The following is a 17,513-nucleotide window of genomic DNA, read 5'->3' as shown; positions in this document are numbered from 1 at the left end:
AAGAAAGAGAAAGAAGAGGATGAAATTATTCAGTCCCATGTTCTAGCTTCCCCTGCCCTCAGGTCACCCCATGGCATCCTGAAAGGGAAGTCTGTCATGTAGGTGGAGGTAAAAACCCAATCAGAGAGGCTCTGGCTTTACTTCCTGGTTAGGACTCTGATAAACCACTCTTGCAAGATGCATCCCACAAAAACACAGGGTGATCATATCACAATAAATGTAGTTAGGCAGAGTGAAGGAGGAGGCTTGGCTGGCACTGCTAAGTCTTCCTCAGCAACCCCTGTGCAAGAAGAGATCCAGAAGTTCCTGCATTAAAGGTAGAGGGATGAAGGCCAGAAAACCAGGATAAGGTACAGCATGATGGATGGCAAGGTAAGCCTAACACAAAGTACACAGCCTTGCCAGGGCCTGGCCAGGACTCAAAAGGGTCTGCCTAGTTAATAAGAACTGGGGTGAGCTCGGCACAGTGGCTCACACCTGTAATCCCAACACTTTGGGAGGCTAAGGCAGGTGGATCGCTTGCACTCAGGAGTTCGAGACCAGTGTGGGCAGCATAGCGAGACCTCATCTCTACTAAAATTAAAAAAAAACAAAAAAAATAGCTAGTTGTGGTGGCCCACACCTGTAGTCCCAACTACTTGGGGGACTGAGGCAGGATGATCACTTGAGCCTGGGAAGTTGAGGCTGCAGTAATCCCTGATTGAGCCACTGCACTCCAACCTTAGTGACAGAGCAAGACCCTGTCTCAAAAACAAACAAACAAACAAACAAAAAAAACGGAAAAAAAAAAAAACACCTGAGGTGAGGCCAAGTTAGGAAGAAAAGAAGTGTGGACTCCAACCAGGCAAGTTCACCACATTTCCCTCCTCGTCAGACTCACTCTTATCCACTAGACTCAATAAAGAAACACAACCTCCTTCTTGGATTCTAATGCTGAGTCTTTCAATACACACAAAAATGGCAACATTTACATTTTAAAGAAACACAGAACCTGGAATGCATGCCGCTGGAGGATGGGCCCAGGAAGTCTCAGGTCAACATAGGAAATACAGACTATGGCAAAAGACAGCATTTTATGATCACCATAAAGGCACTTAGGCTGGTAGGTTAACCACTGGAAATAAAAAATTAAGTTAAACCTATATTTCAAAAATTCAATATGCCAAGCATGGTGGTGCACATCTATAGTCCCAGCTACTCAGGCGGCTGAGGCAGGAAGACCACCTGAGCCCAGAAGGTGGCGGTTGCAGTGAGCCGTGATGGCGCCACTGCAATCTAGCCTCGGCAACAGAGCGAGAGCCTGTCTCAGAAAATAAATAATTATTATTTATCTCTTCCTCAAAGGAGTGGGAATAGTGAAGGATCATGCATTCTTTCACTTAGAAAATATCGGTTTGTTAAGTGCCTACTATGTGCCAGCCCCCATGCTAGGAGGCAGGGATTCTATGGGGGGTGGTCTTTCTAAAAGCTAAAGAAAAACTGATTCAGTGGCTTGTGGATCCCCAAATTAGGAATTTCTGCCCTACGTAAAAATAAATTTTAGATGGAGTGTAGAAGATGAAGTCTCAGCTGATGACTAAAGGCAGAAATTATACAGGAAAAGAATGAGACTTAATTGCATATAAATGTGAAATTGACATATCCAAATATTCTGTAAATATTTCAGAGAAACAGAAGGTTGCACTCAGTCCTCAGAACTGAGGTGGGGCAAAAAGCAACACGACTTTGCTGAAGGGATGTCTGAATTAGAAATAAGGTAGAGCTAGCAGACCCAGAAGCTTGAAGACCAGCAGATGTAGGACAGACAATTCTCTTTTTTCATTAGCAAGGAGGACCTGACCCAGCATGAACTGAGATAAAGGAAGAGAAGAAGAGGACAGTCATCAAGGTGGCTGTGGGAAAGGAGATGCAGGAGGAGACAATGGCAGGAGAAATTAAGTCAAATTAAGTCTTTGTGGGCAGCAGGTAAAGCCTCCACTTCCTTCCTCCATCAGGGCAGCTGTTTCTGGATTGCTCTTTGTAACACAAGGATGTAAGGTAAGAACAGAAGCCCCCAGTGGCCCCACACCATTCACCCAGTCAGTGACTCAGGTTAAACTGGTGACTCCCTTTCTCCCCATCCCGTCCCCCTCGGTGCTGTAAACTGAAAACAAAACTCTGAGCCCCCCAATCAACTGAATGGACCCCTCCTCTTGGCTAAGGGGATTCAAAAGTAGACCTGAAAAACTAGTTCAGGCCATCATGGGAAGAAGGGGTTGAACATGCCTCATTATACTCTCTTCCCTTCAAAATTCAGGCACAAGTGACCAGCATTAACCTTAAAACAGAGATCTTAAGACAAAACAGACGCTTTGTGGCAATAAGATACCAAATTCCAACCTGACTCTAGTATAGCATTACATGACAGATAGCAGGCCCTGAAAGAAATTAAAGTATTTTACCCTAAAATGTATCTCTTTGACATATTTTGAAATGACCCTGCAAAGCTGTCTCTTGCAGGGGAAATTTACATTCTGTAGAGAATCCCCTTCCCTTTCCAGGTCCTTTTCTGATCTTGAAGAGATTGGCTGAGAGTTGAGCACCTTTTAAAGGTCTGAAGAGGATATATTTGCCATCTATTGCCTCTAAGAGCAGCCACTTCATCTACATAATAAGAACCTTGGTCTCTACAACCCCTTCTCTTAACCCAGACATTCCTTTCTATCGATTCTAGGTCTTTAGATAATAACTCTTTTCCCAATAGTTAATCAGAAAATCTTGAAATCCACCTATGACCTGTAAGCCCCCACTTCAAGTTGTCCTGCCTTTCCAGACCAAACCAATGTATAACTCATGTGCATTCATTGATGTGTTATATCTCCTTGAGGTATAAAACCAAGCTATAACCTAATGAACACAGGTTCTCAGGACCTCTTGAGACTGTGTCTTGGGTGTTGGTCATTCATATTTGGCTCAGAATAAACCTCTTTAAATATTTTACAGAGTTTATTTTCATCAACTGTGACACAGACTGAACCATTCCCATCACTCCCTGAACCATTTCCCTTTCTAGGGGTCAGTATGTAAGCCATAGTCATTCTCAGGTACCCCGAAATTCCAGATCCTGTCCCACAAGCCCCATACTCCAGATCACGAAGGAGAAATCTGCTTCAGTTCCATTTCACTAGAGAGACAGTAGAAGGGAGTGATCAAGAGCACAGACTCAAGAGCCATGTGCTTGGATTCAAATCGCAGCTCCACCACTCACTTGCTGTGTGATCTGAGGAGAGTTACTCCACTTCTCTATGCCTCAGTTTCATCACCTGTAGAGTGGCAAAAATAATAGTATCTACTTCACAGGGGTTTTGTAAAGATTAAATACATTGAATATATAAAAGAAATTAGAACTGTCCTTGCAGAAGTGGGAACAAGCCGTGTGGGAGGATTTTTTTTCTGAATAAATTATACTTGAGTGTGTGTGCGTGCACAAACACAGGGACAGACATTTTCAAAGCTGTAATAGCTCAAGTACCTTCTAATTGATTTTGAGATGTTATCTGATCTTATTACAGGATCAGATAATTTTACTTTCCAAAGGTGGTGAATATTTTAGATGAATTAGACTTGTTCTTAATATTTGTCCATTTCCCCGGATTATCTGTAATTACAGTAACTACTTCATAGGATACAAAATTTCAGTTAGAAGGAGTAAATTCAAGAGATCTGTCATATAATACGGTGACTAAAGTAAACAACAATGCATTGAAAATTGCTAGGAGAATTTTGTTTAAATCTGCAAAAAACTTCTCACTAAATTATTTGATATTGGAAAACAGTTACTTTTTCAGAAAAAAATGTTATATTAACATCTAATGGGCTTAATGTTATTTTAAATGAATTTAAAACATTGTTTAAAAATAACTGTCCTGGCAGAACGTAAGCATTATGTGTTCTTCGCGCTGCTGCTGCTGCTATTGCTGTTATTATTACGATTATTATTACTAGAGTTTGGGCTATTCTGAGGATGTGTTTTAGAAGGGCTTCTCTCCCAGCCTTGCATCCAGTTCCTCATCTTCCTCTGTAAGGCATTAGGATATCTCCTTTCAGCACCCCCCTCAGAAAAATCCTACCCCCAAAGATAAACAGTTGCCAAACTCCTCTCTCCTAGCCAAGTCTGAATTGAATCCCTTTTTCTTCCTTTACATTTGTAACTTTCTCCCTCATCTCTTATCTAGGATGTGGCACAACATCTGATAAAATAATGACAGTCATAAAGTAAGAAAGGCAAACACTCTTCTTTCTAGATTCCTTACAAGGCAAAGCCATTCTCAAATAAATTGCGGCAGATGTGATATGTTGGCATGTCACGTATTAATACTTAATGAGAAAAACAGGGAGATGACAGTGGAGTATCAACAAGCAGTCATGGTACAGTACACCTACAGCCACATGTCACCACATGCTGCAGAGAGAAGCCGCTCAGCTGCCAGACCTAAATACTTGGAAATCTTGCTCTTAAGACCTGGTGATCAAAATTTCAGAAGAGTGACCACCTGTCCATTCAGCATAGCTTTCCACTGAATGCTGGGCACTGAGGAGGGTGCTACGGTTACAGCATTAAACAAGAATAAGACATGATCACTGCCTTCAAAGGGCTTATATGCTGATGGGTTGCAACCAAGTAGAGTGTGACTATTACCATGAAAGGTACAGGGTTCCAGCTCCATTAGGAATTGGATACCATTTATAGTATCTCCATCTTACAGAGAAGGAAACGAAGGCACAGAGAGGTCATCAGCTAGTAAGTAGTGGAGCCAGGATTCAAACCCAGGCAGTTCAGGCTCTAGATCTGTGGCCTCAAACACTATGTTCTGGTGACTGGTGATCAACATCTTCCATCTGAAAATGTCTGGTGCTTCTTACATCAGATTGCTTCTTACTCTAAAACTCATCCAAGAGCTTGTCAATAGTAAAGGCACCCAAAAAAAATCTTCCACACAGGGAGAAAATGGAGAAGAGGACACACTATCTGTGAAGCAAAAATAAATCCAGGAAGCGAAACATAATGATGGTTCGTAAAATTTGCTTTAACTTGATAGTCCCTTTCCACTTTGATCTATGGAAGTCTATGTTTGAAGGAAAAGGAAAGGGGATTTTAAAATATGAATGTTACAAGAAAGAAAATATCTTTTGAGTTTGTTGAGATGGGACTATGAGAGAGGGGGATTGACTAAGGTAGGTACCTAAAATGTGAGGTAATATAAATGTCTAGTGGCTGGAAACTGCTTGCAAAGCTATATGAACGAATAAGAGCTCTGTGAGCAGTGAGGGAGAGGTCATACTGGGGCAGATTCAGGGGACTCCCATGCGTCTAATTTGAAATCCGTCTTTCACCTTTTGTCACTCACCTCTTCTACCTTCCATCTACTTCAACACTTAGCACCCTATCGGGTCTTTCTTTTCTGAGAAATTAAAAAACAAACAAATGGTGGGTCTGGGCACAGTGTCTCATGCCTGTAATCCCAGCACTTTGGGAGGCCAAGGTGAGAGGATTGCTTGAGGCCAGGAGTTCAAGACCAGTCTGGCCAAAACAGTAGAGACCCTTCCTCTACAAAAAATTTAAAAATTAGCCAGGTGTGGGGAGAAAAGGAGGGAGTGCATTAGGACAAATACCTAATGCATGCGGAACTTAAAACCTAGAAGTCGGGTTGATAGTTGCAGCAAACCACCATGGTACATGTATACCTATATAACAAACCTGCACATTCAGCACATGTATCCCAGAACTTTAAAAAAAAAAATTGGCTGTGTATGGTGGTGTGTGCCTCTGGTCACAGCTACTTGGGAAGCTGAGGCAGGAGGATCACCTGAGCCCAGGAGGTAGAGGCCACTATGAGCTATAATCACAAAACTGCATTCCAGCCTGGGTGACAGAGCGAGACACTGTCTCATAAATAAAACCACAAACGAACAAATGGCATAAATTTTACTCTATTTGTAATGATTATTAATCATTATTTATATAATTATGTAATGATCAGTTAATCATTTATATTTTGGTATCTCTGCAGCATGCCTGCCGTGTATCCAGTGCTTTAGTACATGATCTTACCTAACCCTTACAACAATCCAGTGAGATGAGTACTATGATCAGCCCCATTTTAATGCCTCAAGAAACTGAGGAATAAGGAGATTTGTCGGGGTGGATGTACTTTAGCACAGGGATCCTGGTGGTCATCTCCCTTCAATGTGGCTGGGGCTAACAGACAAGTAGAGGGGAACACAGGCATCATCTAGTGACAAGATGGTGTTCCTAGTTTTCATCTAACACCTCAGTCCTCCTCTCACATAAGGAAACAGACAAAAATGACAAGACCAAGGCCACTCCTCTGAAGGTCCAGCCCATACTGCTTCCACCATAGTCTCTATCTCAGAATCATCACATCTCCGGTGCAGAGCTGAAATTGAGCCTTTCATCAGCCAGTCCCATCACTGCTCACTTCCTCCCTACCCGGCCCATTAGCAGGAGGACCTCTCAGTCACCTCTGGCTTTGTTTGATTTTCAAGCAAAGAAAAAGTACTAAGAAACTACCACTTCCTGAGGACCTACTATACGCCAGGCTCGCTCAATCCTCATAGCACCCCTATGAGGCAAAGTAGTAGTATTCTCCTCAGAGATTAAAAGATTGGCCCAGAGAATTTAAATTATTTGTCCAAAGTCACATAACTAGTAGGTAGCCAGCGCTTAGTCACTAGACTGCTGCCAAAAAAAAAGCAGTATTTTATTAACAGCACCTATTTGACCTTTTCTTCTTTATGCTCACCCTATTCCAGCCTTCTACCCAACAATCCCAGTAGACATGATAATATACTTCACCAACTCCAGGACCACCATCCTGTCCTGCAACTGGTGGTTAAGCATGATTCAAAGGCAGTACTAATGCAAAGCCAGCAGTTTGTAGAACTGATTTATCATCTAACATGCTGAACCAACTCTCTACCTAGGGACCTAAATTATTCTATTGACCTAAAAGCCCATGCAATCAATGCCTCACTAAAAGAAGGTGCTCAGATTCCTCCTCATTCTCAGCCTAAAGATACTCCTATATATTAAGGTCTAGCAGCCACCAACAGCACCCAGATCCCCCTGGGATAAGCAATCATGCATGAGTTTGCCTCTGAACACCTGAAAGCATCATAATTCAAGAAATGCAGAGGGCAAGCTGTGCAGGATTCCTGAAATAATTGAAACTGACCCACAACTCACCAGCCACCATGGGAAATTCTATCGCTTTGCTTCCATAGCTAGAAATCAAATCACGAAAATAGGATCAGGTCTCTAATTTGGAGTCTTAGACATACAACGTCATCTTTAATGACTCCTGGCAAAAAATGCTCATTACAGATCTCAGCCCATCTAAATTAAAACGTGAAATCCAAAAATTAAGCAGAAAATTATCAATTTCTCAGGTCCATAAGACCCCAGAAAAATCATGCAAGCGGGAATACACGTACTCCTTGGAGTCTTGTTATATCTGTAAATAATCTGAGCAGAAATTATATGAAAAAGAAGATTTAAGAGGAAAGAAAAACAAACCCATCAGGTTCTAACTTTCAGGTTTGGGCCTTCTTGGTGAATTGCAATTTTTCACAGTCAATTTGAACTAGCATGGCAAGGAAGATTTTCTCTCTGGTAATGGCCAATTTTATCTGTTCTCTGTAGAGCTCATATTCCTCTGATACGGCAGGCTGCTGACTTCAAGTCTCTCAATGCTAAGTAGGCTGAAAGATGATGCAATCAGTCAACATGGTGTTCAGGAGGGTATGGCTCCATTAAAATGGGGGGTGGCTAAATATTCCTCTATCAGCAGTTCTAAACCTCATTCAGCGTAGATCTTTGAGAAGTTCAGGTAAGCATTAAGTCATCTCTGGAGATTGTTTTCACATTTCTTCCCTCCACTTCCCATCCACCATGCCCTTTATGTCACCATGTGAATAGCTGACATGACCCAGCAGAATAATTTGCATCACCAGCATTCACATCTGCTCATGATTAAATTTGTCTCAAACCTAAATCTAGGAAGAGAGCCATTCCCTGTCTGCAGCAATACTTCAACAGATGGCCCAGAAAAAGTAAGGTTAGCTGTTAATAGAAATTACAAATTCAAAACCTAGTTTCCTTTAACAAGCATTCTTAAAGAGAAAAGTTAGAGAATGAGACCAGGACCAGTGTCAGGGTTATGCCACCAGATACTGAACATGAAACATGGTCAACCTCCTCCTACTAGTAAAGGAGCATCTGCAAATCACACAAAAGAGACACTCTAATTGTTATTCTTTTTTTTCAATTAAAAAACTACTTCTGAGTCTTACATTGTACACTGCCTCAGAAAAAGTTCATCTCCATACCTAAATTTAACTACTTAGTATGGAATGGCCATTCTGTACAAAGACCTGTGTGTTTCTAAGTATAATTAGTAGCCTGGAAAATCCTTCAAGAAACCTAAAAATGTGGAGTGGAAAACCTACACCTATGCATGCTAAAGAAGCTAGGATAAAAGTCTAGGTCACTCCCAGGAAAGGCCCTCTTTGTTACTTTGTCACATGCCCTCAGAAACACCTCTTTTTAGAACGACATCATTCCAAGGGGTCACCCCAGAGCTTCCTCCTCAGATTAACTTTTCATTACTACTCTTTTGTCCACATTTGTCTTAAATGAGGGAGAGGAGAGACTGTTTCAGCAGCCTGGGGTCTCAACTATATGAGTCTAGTTCTAATCAAGACAGTGACAAAGGTCTTGACAGACATGTTCTCTCCACCTCTGTGGTTGATATAGAACTGAAGGTCTTCCTTGGACAAAAAAAAAATTATTAAAATAAAGGACAAGACAATCATTTTGAATATGAAATATAGTCAACTGCCGAAACTGCCTCTGGTGACACAGTGGGTTGGTATTTATGGACATGGACCCAGAAACCAGCATGTGTGCCAGGGAGTTATGGTTTTATCATGCCAGCCAATATGGGAGAAGCCTTTTAGGGGTATGTGCTTCCCAAGAAATGCAAGAGTACAAGCATTCACACTGAGTAGGCAGAGGGACTGTGCAAGGTTCACACCAGACACTTGTGACATGTTCCCAAATCATGCTGGGTCCCAACCCATTGACTCAGTAAGTGACTTTGATGAGTAAATCAAAAGTTAACAGAACCTTCCAACCAGGGTCACCTTTTCAACAAAAACCACTCCCTGGCCTTCTAGTTAGAGAGCACCTCTTTGCCAACATTCCGCAATCTTGCCATGAAAACAGGGCAACGTGTGATATTTGATGAAGTAAGGACAAATCAGAGTAACTACTCAACATTCCTTGCAATGTCATTACCTTCAAAAGAAACCCCACCTTTTGAAGGGTTTCTTTCAAAAAGAAACCTTGCAATTCCTTCCTTGAATTCCTTGCAATTCCTTGCAATTGCAATTCCTTGCAATTCCTTGCGATTCCTTGCAATTCATTCCTTGCGATTCCTTGCGATTCCTTGCAATTCCTTGCAATTCATTCCTTGCAATTCCTTGCAATTCATTCCTTGCAATTCCTTGCAATTCATTCCTTGCAATTCCTTGCAATTCATTCCTTGCAATTCCTTGCAATTCATTCCTTGCAATTCCTTGCAATTCATTCCTTGCAATTCCTTGCAATTCATTCCTTGCAATTCCTTGCAATTCATTCCTTGCAATTCCTTGCAATTCATTCCTTGCAATTCCTTGCAATTCATTCCTTGCAATTCCTTGCAATAACCATATGAAATTTCTTACTCCAAGAAGCAAACTAGACCAAAAATAAAATGTATTTAGAGAGGCTTTGATAAATTCAGCATCTGTAATAAGTTACTATGAAAAATCAGGATGTTGAGTGCTAACTACCTCCTTTTGAATGGCAACATTAGATATGGCAGTATTTATTGAGCTCTTCCCCTACCTGTGTCTTGGTTTTTTTGCCTATAGAGATGAAATTTAAGAATGAATAAGCCTGTGATCCCAACTACTGGGGGGCTGAGGCGGAAGGATCTAGCCCAGAGTTTGAGACTAGCCTGGGAAACATAGTGAGAACTTGTCTCAAAAATTAAAAAATAAAAAGGAATGAGCCACATGAATAAGGCACCGACTCCTATGGTTGTGCCAGTGCTGACCCTGAGGTTCTTCCATTAGGTTTTCAATTGCAAACTCAATCCTGTCACTTGTTACACTCTGGAAGCGATAAGAGGAACACAGCAACAAGTCCATCACGTAGAAAACAACAATCTGAAATGGCAGGGGGACTAAGGAAAAGAGACTCCACACCAACCATAAGACTATGGGTCAAAATCTAGAAAAGAAAGAAAATTTCAGAAAAAAGTATCTATCATGTCCACAGAGCATAGGAATAACACAAGTGTTAAAGCTAACATTTGTAAACATCTATTATATACCACCTGCTCTACATGCATTAGGTTATTTAATCTTCAAAACAACTCCTGGAGACAGGGATTATCTTTACTACTGTTTAAGAGATAAGAAAAATGAAACTTAGATTTAGTAAATAGTATACTGCAACACTGGCCTAACCTCCTATCCTGAGTCTATTTTTCTTAACAGTCTCACATACACTGATGTCATTTTCAAGAAAAAGAGAAAGCAATTAAATAAATCAAGATACAGTAGCCTTTCCCAGGTTAGTAAGAAACCACTTCAAACATAACCCTTTGTGCATCGGTACACAGACTCAGAAAGAAACTTTCTTATCTCACCTATCTACACAGACTAATCATAATTGTGAGAGACCCAGAAAGCATGGATTAGTCATCCTGTTAGTAGGATGAAGAAATGGATGCCAAATGCAGCTTGAGTGAGAGACAGGGAGAGGATAGTAGCCCGAACCCTTTGAGGCCGGCCCAGCCATGCTCCTCCCACTGGACATGCCTGACCAACTTTAGCAATCCCAGCGCCTGACCTCCACATCCCGGTGAAACTGAACATGGTGCTCACGCAGCGGGGGAGGGCGGGTGGAGTGAGTCCATCCAGGCGCATGAGCAGAGCAGGCACGCCAAAGAGCACCAAGTACTTCACGTAGAAAAAGAGCACCTGGGCTAACGCCAGTCCTCCTGAAAGGCAAACAGACCAGTCAGACACATGGAAGAGAATCACAGCAGTTTCCTGGAGGAGACCAACACCCCAGGAGCTATGCCAACTGCCCCGCTTCTCCCCACACCCCTTCCTCCCTTCAACTCGCACATTTCACAAAAGTATTCCACACTGGTTTTATTCAATGAAATTTTTTGGTTAACAAACAATGAAATTTCATTATTGTGACAGGCAAGAGGACCTCTTAGGAGTCATGCTTTTACAGATGCTAGGAAAGAGAATGCCCAAAATGTGTACATTGCATTAAAAAACTATTACGAAGGGGAAAATCCTTCCCAAAATCTTTTAAAACCTACATGATAATGGGTACAAAAAAAAAAAGAATAAGTTCTAGTATTTGACCGAATAACAGGGTAACTTTAGTCAATAATTAAATACACATTTTAAAATAACTAGAAGAATACAATTGGGTTATTTGTAACACAAAAGATAAACGCTTGAGGTATCAGATACCCTATTTACCCTGATGTGATTATTACACACTGAATGCCTGTATCAATTATTATGCATCGTATGCCTGTTTGCTGTATCTCACACACCTCATACATATACACATCTACTATGCACCCACAAAATTTAACAGTTAAAAAAGAAAATCTACATGAGTCTGCACCCATTAGGATAACTAGAATCGAAAAGTCAGATCAGCAAGTGTTGATGAAGATCTGGAGAAACTGGAACCACCAGGCACAGCTGCTGAGAGTGTAGAGCGAGGCAGCTGCTTTGGAAAACAGTCTGGTGGTTCCCCAAATGATTAAGCAGAGTTACATATGATCCAGCAATTCCACTCCTTGTCATATAACCAAGAGAAATGAAATGTTCACACAAAACATATGTTCACACAAAAACTTGTACCCCGATGTACACAGCAGCATTATTCACAATAGCCAAAAGAGGAGACCACCTAAACATCTGTCAACAAATGCATGGATAGACACAATGTGGTCTGTCCATACAATAGACCATAAAAAGGAATGAAATACTGATAAATGCCAAATGTGGATGAACCCTGAAAACATGAAGCTAAGTGAAACAAGCCAGTCACAAAATACCACATATTGTATTATTCCATTCATATGAAAGCCCAGAATAGGGAAATCTATAGAGACAAAGTAGACTAGTGGTTTCTTGGGGAGAGAGGGCAGCAATGAATAAAAGGTGGGGTTTCTTTTGAAGGCAATGAAAATATTCTAAAACTGGTGGTGGTGATAGGTGAATCATATCTGTAGATATACTAAAAGTCACTGAACTGTACACTTTAAATGGGTGGATTTTATGGTATGTGAGCTATCTTCCAATAAAGCTCTTTAAAAAAAAAAAAAAAAGGAAAACTCACATGAAGGCCTGAGGTCTAGTGGGGTAAGGAGGCAGTGGGTCTGCCACAGCAGTGCCCACAAGAAGGCCACAGGCCAAGCCTAGAAGGAACCTCCAGGGGAGACGATAAATGGCCACATGCTCTCTCACCTCAAGATTGCCCGCCCCACTGTGCAGAAAATTACTGCAGGACATGTCGATGTGGCAGACCAGGTTATCTTCTGGGATATTCTGAAGGAAATAACCAAGCTTCAGAGAGGTACTAGCAGAAAATACCACTGTCTGACCTCCTTGATGCTACACTAGGATCTTTGAAAGAATGTCACCATTATCGAGTGTGTGGCTATAAATGGTAACCCTGGTGCCAGAGGAAAAACATAAGCCACTTTCTGAATATACAGTTTGGGTGATGGCAGATGGTGGTTCAAATGTGAAAGCCATACATCCTACAAGGAGAAACCCCCAGGAACCGCTGCGTCTTGTTCCCATTCAGAAGTGATCAAACAGGTTCTTCAGACTTTTGGAAATCAGACTACAGTCATACCTGCTGGAAGGGCTAGGAATAAACTTTCAGCATTCTTGGACGTGCCTGATAAAGAGTCAGGAAAAAATCTGATTTGTGTGTGTGTGTGAATATATATACATGTGAATACTATCATAAAATACTTGAAGGGCATGTGATCACTCTGGGTGATAAATCAGTTTCACTGGCTGAGATGGCAATGAGGGAGGCTCGCAACTCATGCAAAATGAACCACTAGGCTCTAGCCAGAAAAATTCCACAACTAGAGATGGCAGGACATAAAAGTAAGAATGACTGATTAAAGCGCACAATGCTTCCAGAGCTGAAAATGATCCACCTGAAGAACTGAAGGTATCAATGGACCTATGGAAGACTATGCATGGTTAAGGCCGTGCCAAGCTCTTGCCTATATGAAGCACCACAGACTTCTCCCTGCTAACAGGATGCCAAATCAGGAAAAATGGGTTGCTTCATGTCTCAAGTATTGCTTTATTTTTCACATTATTTTTGTACAGTTGTCAGATTCAAGGCATATAAATTAAAATCTATGGCTGAGTCTACATTTTTATGAGTCATTATTTGCACAAAATATTCACTATTTGTTAGTACTTTCATACAGAACTGGGCAAAGGAAAAGATTGATTTTGCATAGACGATTAATAAACTCTACTGCTAAATATAATTAAAGATAAGGTAATTGGGCTTGATTTTGGGGTTTTTTTAAACCACTATGTGAATGGAAAGCACAAGAAGTCATACAAGTGCTCTATTTTCCTGTCACTGAATATTTCTTACGGCTTAAGATATGAAAGGCTTAAATAGATTTTTTTTCCTTGAAATTTTAATATCTGGTTTACAAGCTTATAGAAAAGACACAAGATTTTTAAAGCATTATTAAATTTAAAGATTAAATTACAAATAGTAATTTGTGTTAATTTTCTTTAAAAATTGTGTTTGTACCATGGATTTCACTACTCTGCTGTCTTGCTGTTGATTTTCATTATCCCTTTGAAAAATGCATGGCTCAGCCAGGCACGGTGGCTCACGCCTGTAGTCCCAGCACTTTGGGAGGCTGAGGCAGGCAGATCACAAAAGGCCAGGAGATCGAGACCATCCTGGCCAACATGGTGAAGCCCCAACTCTACTAAGTAAACACAAAAAATTTGTCGGGCATGGTGGTGCACGCTTCTAGTCCCAGCTACTCAGGAGGCTGAGGCAGGGGAATCGCTTGAACCTGGGAGGCAGAGATTGCAGCGAGCCAAGATCATGCCACTGCACTCCAGCCTGGTGACAGGGTGAGACTCTGTCTCAAAAAAGAAAAAAGAAAAATGCATGGCTCATTCTTCTTTCCCCTTGACCTAAAAATTAGTCTCTTTCCCTTTTAAGATTTGGTCTAAGTTTCAGGGTTGACCCTAAATATTTTGCCGCATTCTCTTGGGCATACAATGGGCAGGAAGGCAACATAAGACTATAAATGACTCTACTCTGATTGCAAGTTATGTGACAAATTGAACTAGCTTTTGTTATGCTCAAAAATATTACATTTTACTATTTTTCAATACTTTAACAAATATTTCTGGGTTTGTATGTATAAGATTTTCTCAATTAGCAAGAGTTATTATTGATTTTATCTAACCCAACTGCTTCCCCACAAAAAAAGCCATATATGAGTTCATGTATTACACACTCTTTTGACATTCATTCATTCAACAAGCATGTGCAGAGGGTACGGCAAATGGAATCACCAGTTATGTCCTATGAGAAATAGACTAGAGGTCAAATCGGGTGGGACCTAGCTTCAGGGGACTCATAGTTTCACTGCAGTCTCATTTATCCTTCTCTTTTACCACACAGTATTTTCTTCTGCCTTTGTGCTCTACCCCTCCTTCTTTTCTTGGCAAAATACTATGTATCCTTCAGATCCCAGCTCAAATATGGTCTCATCTCATTCACTTAACATACAGTTATTGAACATCAGCTCCTTGCCAGGCACTGAGCAATATGGTGGTGAATAAAAAGGCATGCTAACAGCCCTTATAGAGTGTTACGGTCTGTTAAAAGAGAAAAGAATGTAAATTAGGAATGAGATTAATACCCACACCCCGAGGACAGGCAACAACCTAAACGCAGAGGAACAGACACCATTCATTGAACATTTAACAAACATTCATTGTGTACATACGTGCCAAGCATGGTTCTAGGTGCTTGGAATGCATCAGTGGGTACACCTGCTTTCATGGGGCTTATACCCTAGCAAGAGTCAACAAAAAATAGGCATAAAAATAAACTTTATATTAACTTAGGAAGTATGACAGAATGACTTCCCAACAATGGCTGCAACTGTATCTTTCATCCCATATGGTCTTCTGCAATGTGACCTTGCCACTCCCCCAGCAAGAGTAAATCTGGGCAGGTCCTAGGACCAATAGATATAGAAGAAGTGATGCTGTCCTAATTCCAAAGGTGGTCTGCCATTGGCCTGGCACCTTCCACTTCCTACCCCTTGGAATGCTCAATCTTTGAACACTATCTCTTAGAACCCAGTTGTCATATAAAGAAGCCCAAGCCACACGGAGTGGCCACATGAAGATGTTCTGGTGAACAGCATCAGCTGAGCTCCCAGCTGACAGCAGCCTCAATAGCCAGCCATGTGAGAAAACCTCTTGGACATCCCGCCCAGTTACACCTTTGAAAGATGGCAACCCTGGCTGATGTCTGACTGCAACTATAGGAGAGATCCCAAGCAAGAACTACCCAGCCAAGTACAGTCAACCAACAGAACAGGGAGACAGAGGCAATCATTGTTTTAAGCTAGTAAGTTTGTAGATGGTTTGTTATTCAGCGACAGCCAACTGGGACAGAGGACAATAAATGCAATGGAAAAAGCAAAACTGTAGAACAGGGTGAGGGAGCTCAGAACTGTTGAGGTGGCAGATGCTGCCCTTTTTAAAAGGAGAGTTGGGGTGGTCTTCATCCAAATGAGAACATTTGAGCAAAAACTTGAAGGGGGTGAAGAGGTCAGCTATGCAGCCACCCTGCTTCCTCTTGGGCTCTCATCATACTCCCTTATGATCTGTCCTCTCTCATCATACTTCCTTCTTATGATCTGTCTGTCCTTATCCTATCAGACCACAGTTGTACACATGTGTGTACAGCTTAAGACCGTAGGTTCCTTAAGATCAGGAGTGGTGTCTTATACCTCTTGCATTCCCAGCACTTAATATCTGCCATATGGTTGATGTTTGATAAGCATTTCCTTAAGAAGTAACTGAATGAATAATTCACCTTATACCGCAGTAGGAAGACGAACTGTATCACAGTACTTCCGGGAAGTGTATACAGTCAGCTCTGAGGATTTTTAAGTCTCTACTGAAGTTCAGACCTGCCACCAAATCAACGAGTCTTCTGTAGGTTTGGGACCTTGTATTCCCAGTATCAAGAACATTGGTAAAAAGGAGAGAAAGAAGTCCTAGCACTAGGTTAGGTACTGCCTTGAAGTTACTAAATGTGTAGTTAATTCTGCCTAACAACGGGCCACTTCCAAACGGGCCATCTTAAACTCAGCTCATCAAAAACAGAATTTAGCTTCTCCCCCTGAAAACTATAAATGGCACAGATTTTCAAGACAAAAGGAGATGAATGTCAAATTCTACAAGACTTCTAGGAGGGCTAGAGAAAAGATCCCAACTAGCTCCCCTAGAATTTAGTCCTTCCCAGATTGACATACATACCTACCCAGCCCTTCTTTGTGTTTAATCTTGCCTTGTCATAATTTTAACTAAAAATGAAGAAGCTAGTGATTGGATCCCATGTGGCTGATCACCCTCCTCTCAGCTCTATTCCACAAATGAGCGGCTAAAAATCTCACGCTGAAAGGTGGAGGGAATGGGAAGGAGAAGCCAAGGCCAAGCCCAATCTATTTTTCCTGCCCTGACATTCCTGTCCTCATTGAACCACTCATTTTATCCAATTATTCCCTTCACTTTCTCTTTGCTCACACTCAATTTCTCTGCCTAGAGGTCCCCTTCCTCCATTTTGTCTGTCAAAACTCTACCCTTAAGGGTAGAGTTACCCTTAAAGTGCCATTACCCATCTAAGTGCCATATTTCTTAAAGTTTTTCTAACTGCCCCAGCTAAAATAGTCACATGGTACTTTCCAAGTACATAATGTGGTTCAGCTTTCTGTATAGTCTAGTTATCTATAAGATCGGAAGGGCAATGATCACAGCTTTCTTCTTTAATTTCATCTCCTTAGCACCAACCAGTGCCTGGCACATAACACAAAACAAGCAATGAGTATTTGCTGAACAAATGAATGGAATGAAAGAATGAATGCACTTTCATGTATATTATCCCACTGTTAATTTTTACTACCCTATCCCACAAGTATTGCCCCCATATATCATATTAGAAAGCAAAGATTGATTAGGATTAAGTGACCTTCACAAGCCTCAGAGTCAATCCACACTTGGGACTTTAACCCAGGTCTCTTGGCTCCAAAATCAATGGCATCTTCTCCAAAGGC

General features: G+C 41.3%; 1 protein-coding gene and 1 pseudogene across 18 annotated transcripts in view; one reads left to right on the top strand and one right to left on the bottom strand.

The window, feature by feature from the left end:
* The window catches only part of HHAT (hedgehog acyltransferase), a 348,963-nt gene that overhangs the window by 200,675 nt on the left and 130,775 nt on the right, over nt 1-17,513 (bottom strand). For all 18 annotated transcript variants that reach the window (XM_047424804.1, NM_001122834.4, NM_001170564.3 and 15 more), the window contains one exon: nt 10,961-11,111. In XM_047424804.1, coding sequence (XP_047280760.1) covers nt 10,961-11,111 — 151 coding nt within the window. The remainder of the gene's footprint in view (nt 1-10,960; nt 11,112-17,513) is intronic.
* BPNT2P1 (BPNT2 pseudogene 1) lies at nt 12,604-13,271 on the top strand (annotated as a pseudogene).

This window comes from Homo sapiens, chromosome 1 (assembly GCF_000001405.40).
Source record: "Homo sapiens chromosome 1, GRCh38.p14 Primary Assembly".
Taxonomy (NCBI): Eukaryota; Metazoa; Chordata; class Mammalia; order Primates; family Hominidae; genus Homo; species Homo sapiens.
The sequence above is the reverse complement of the archived record's forward strand: the minus strand, read 5'-3'. Positions and strand labels throughout refer to the sequence as shown.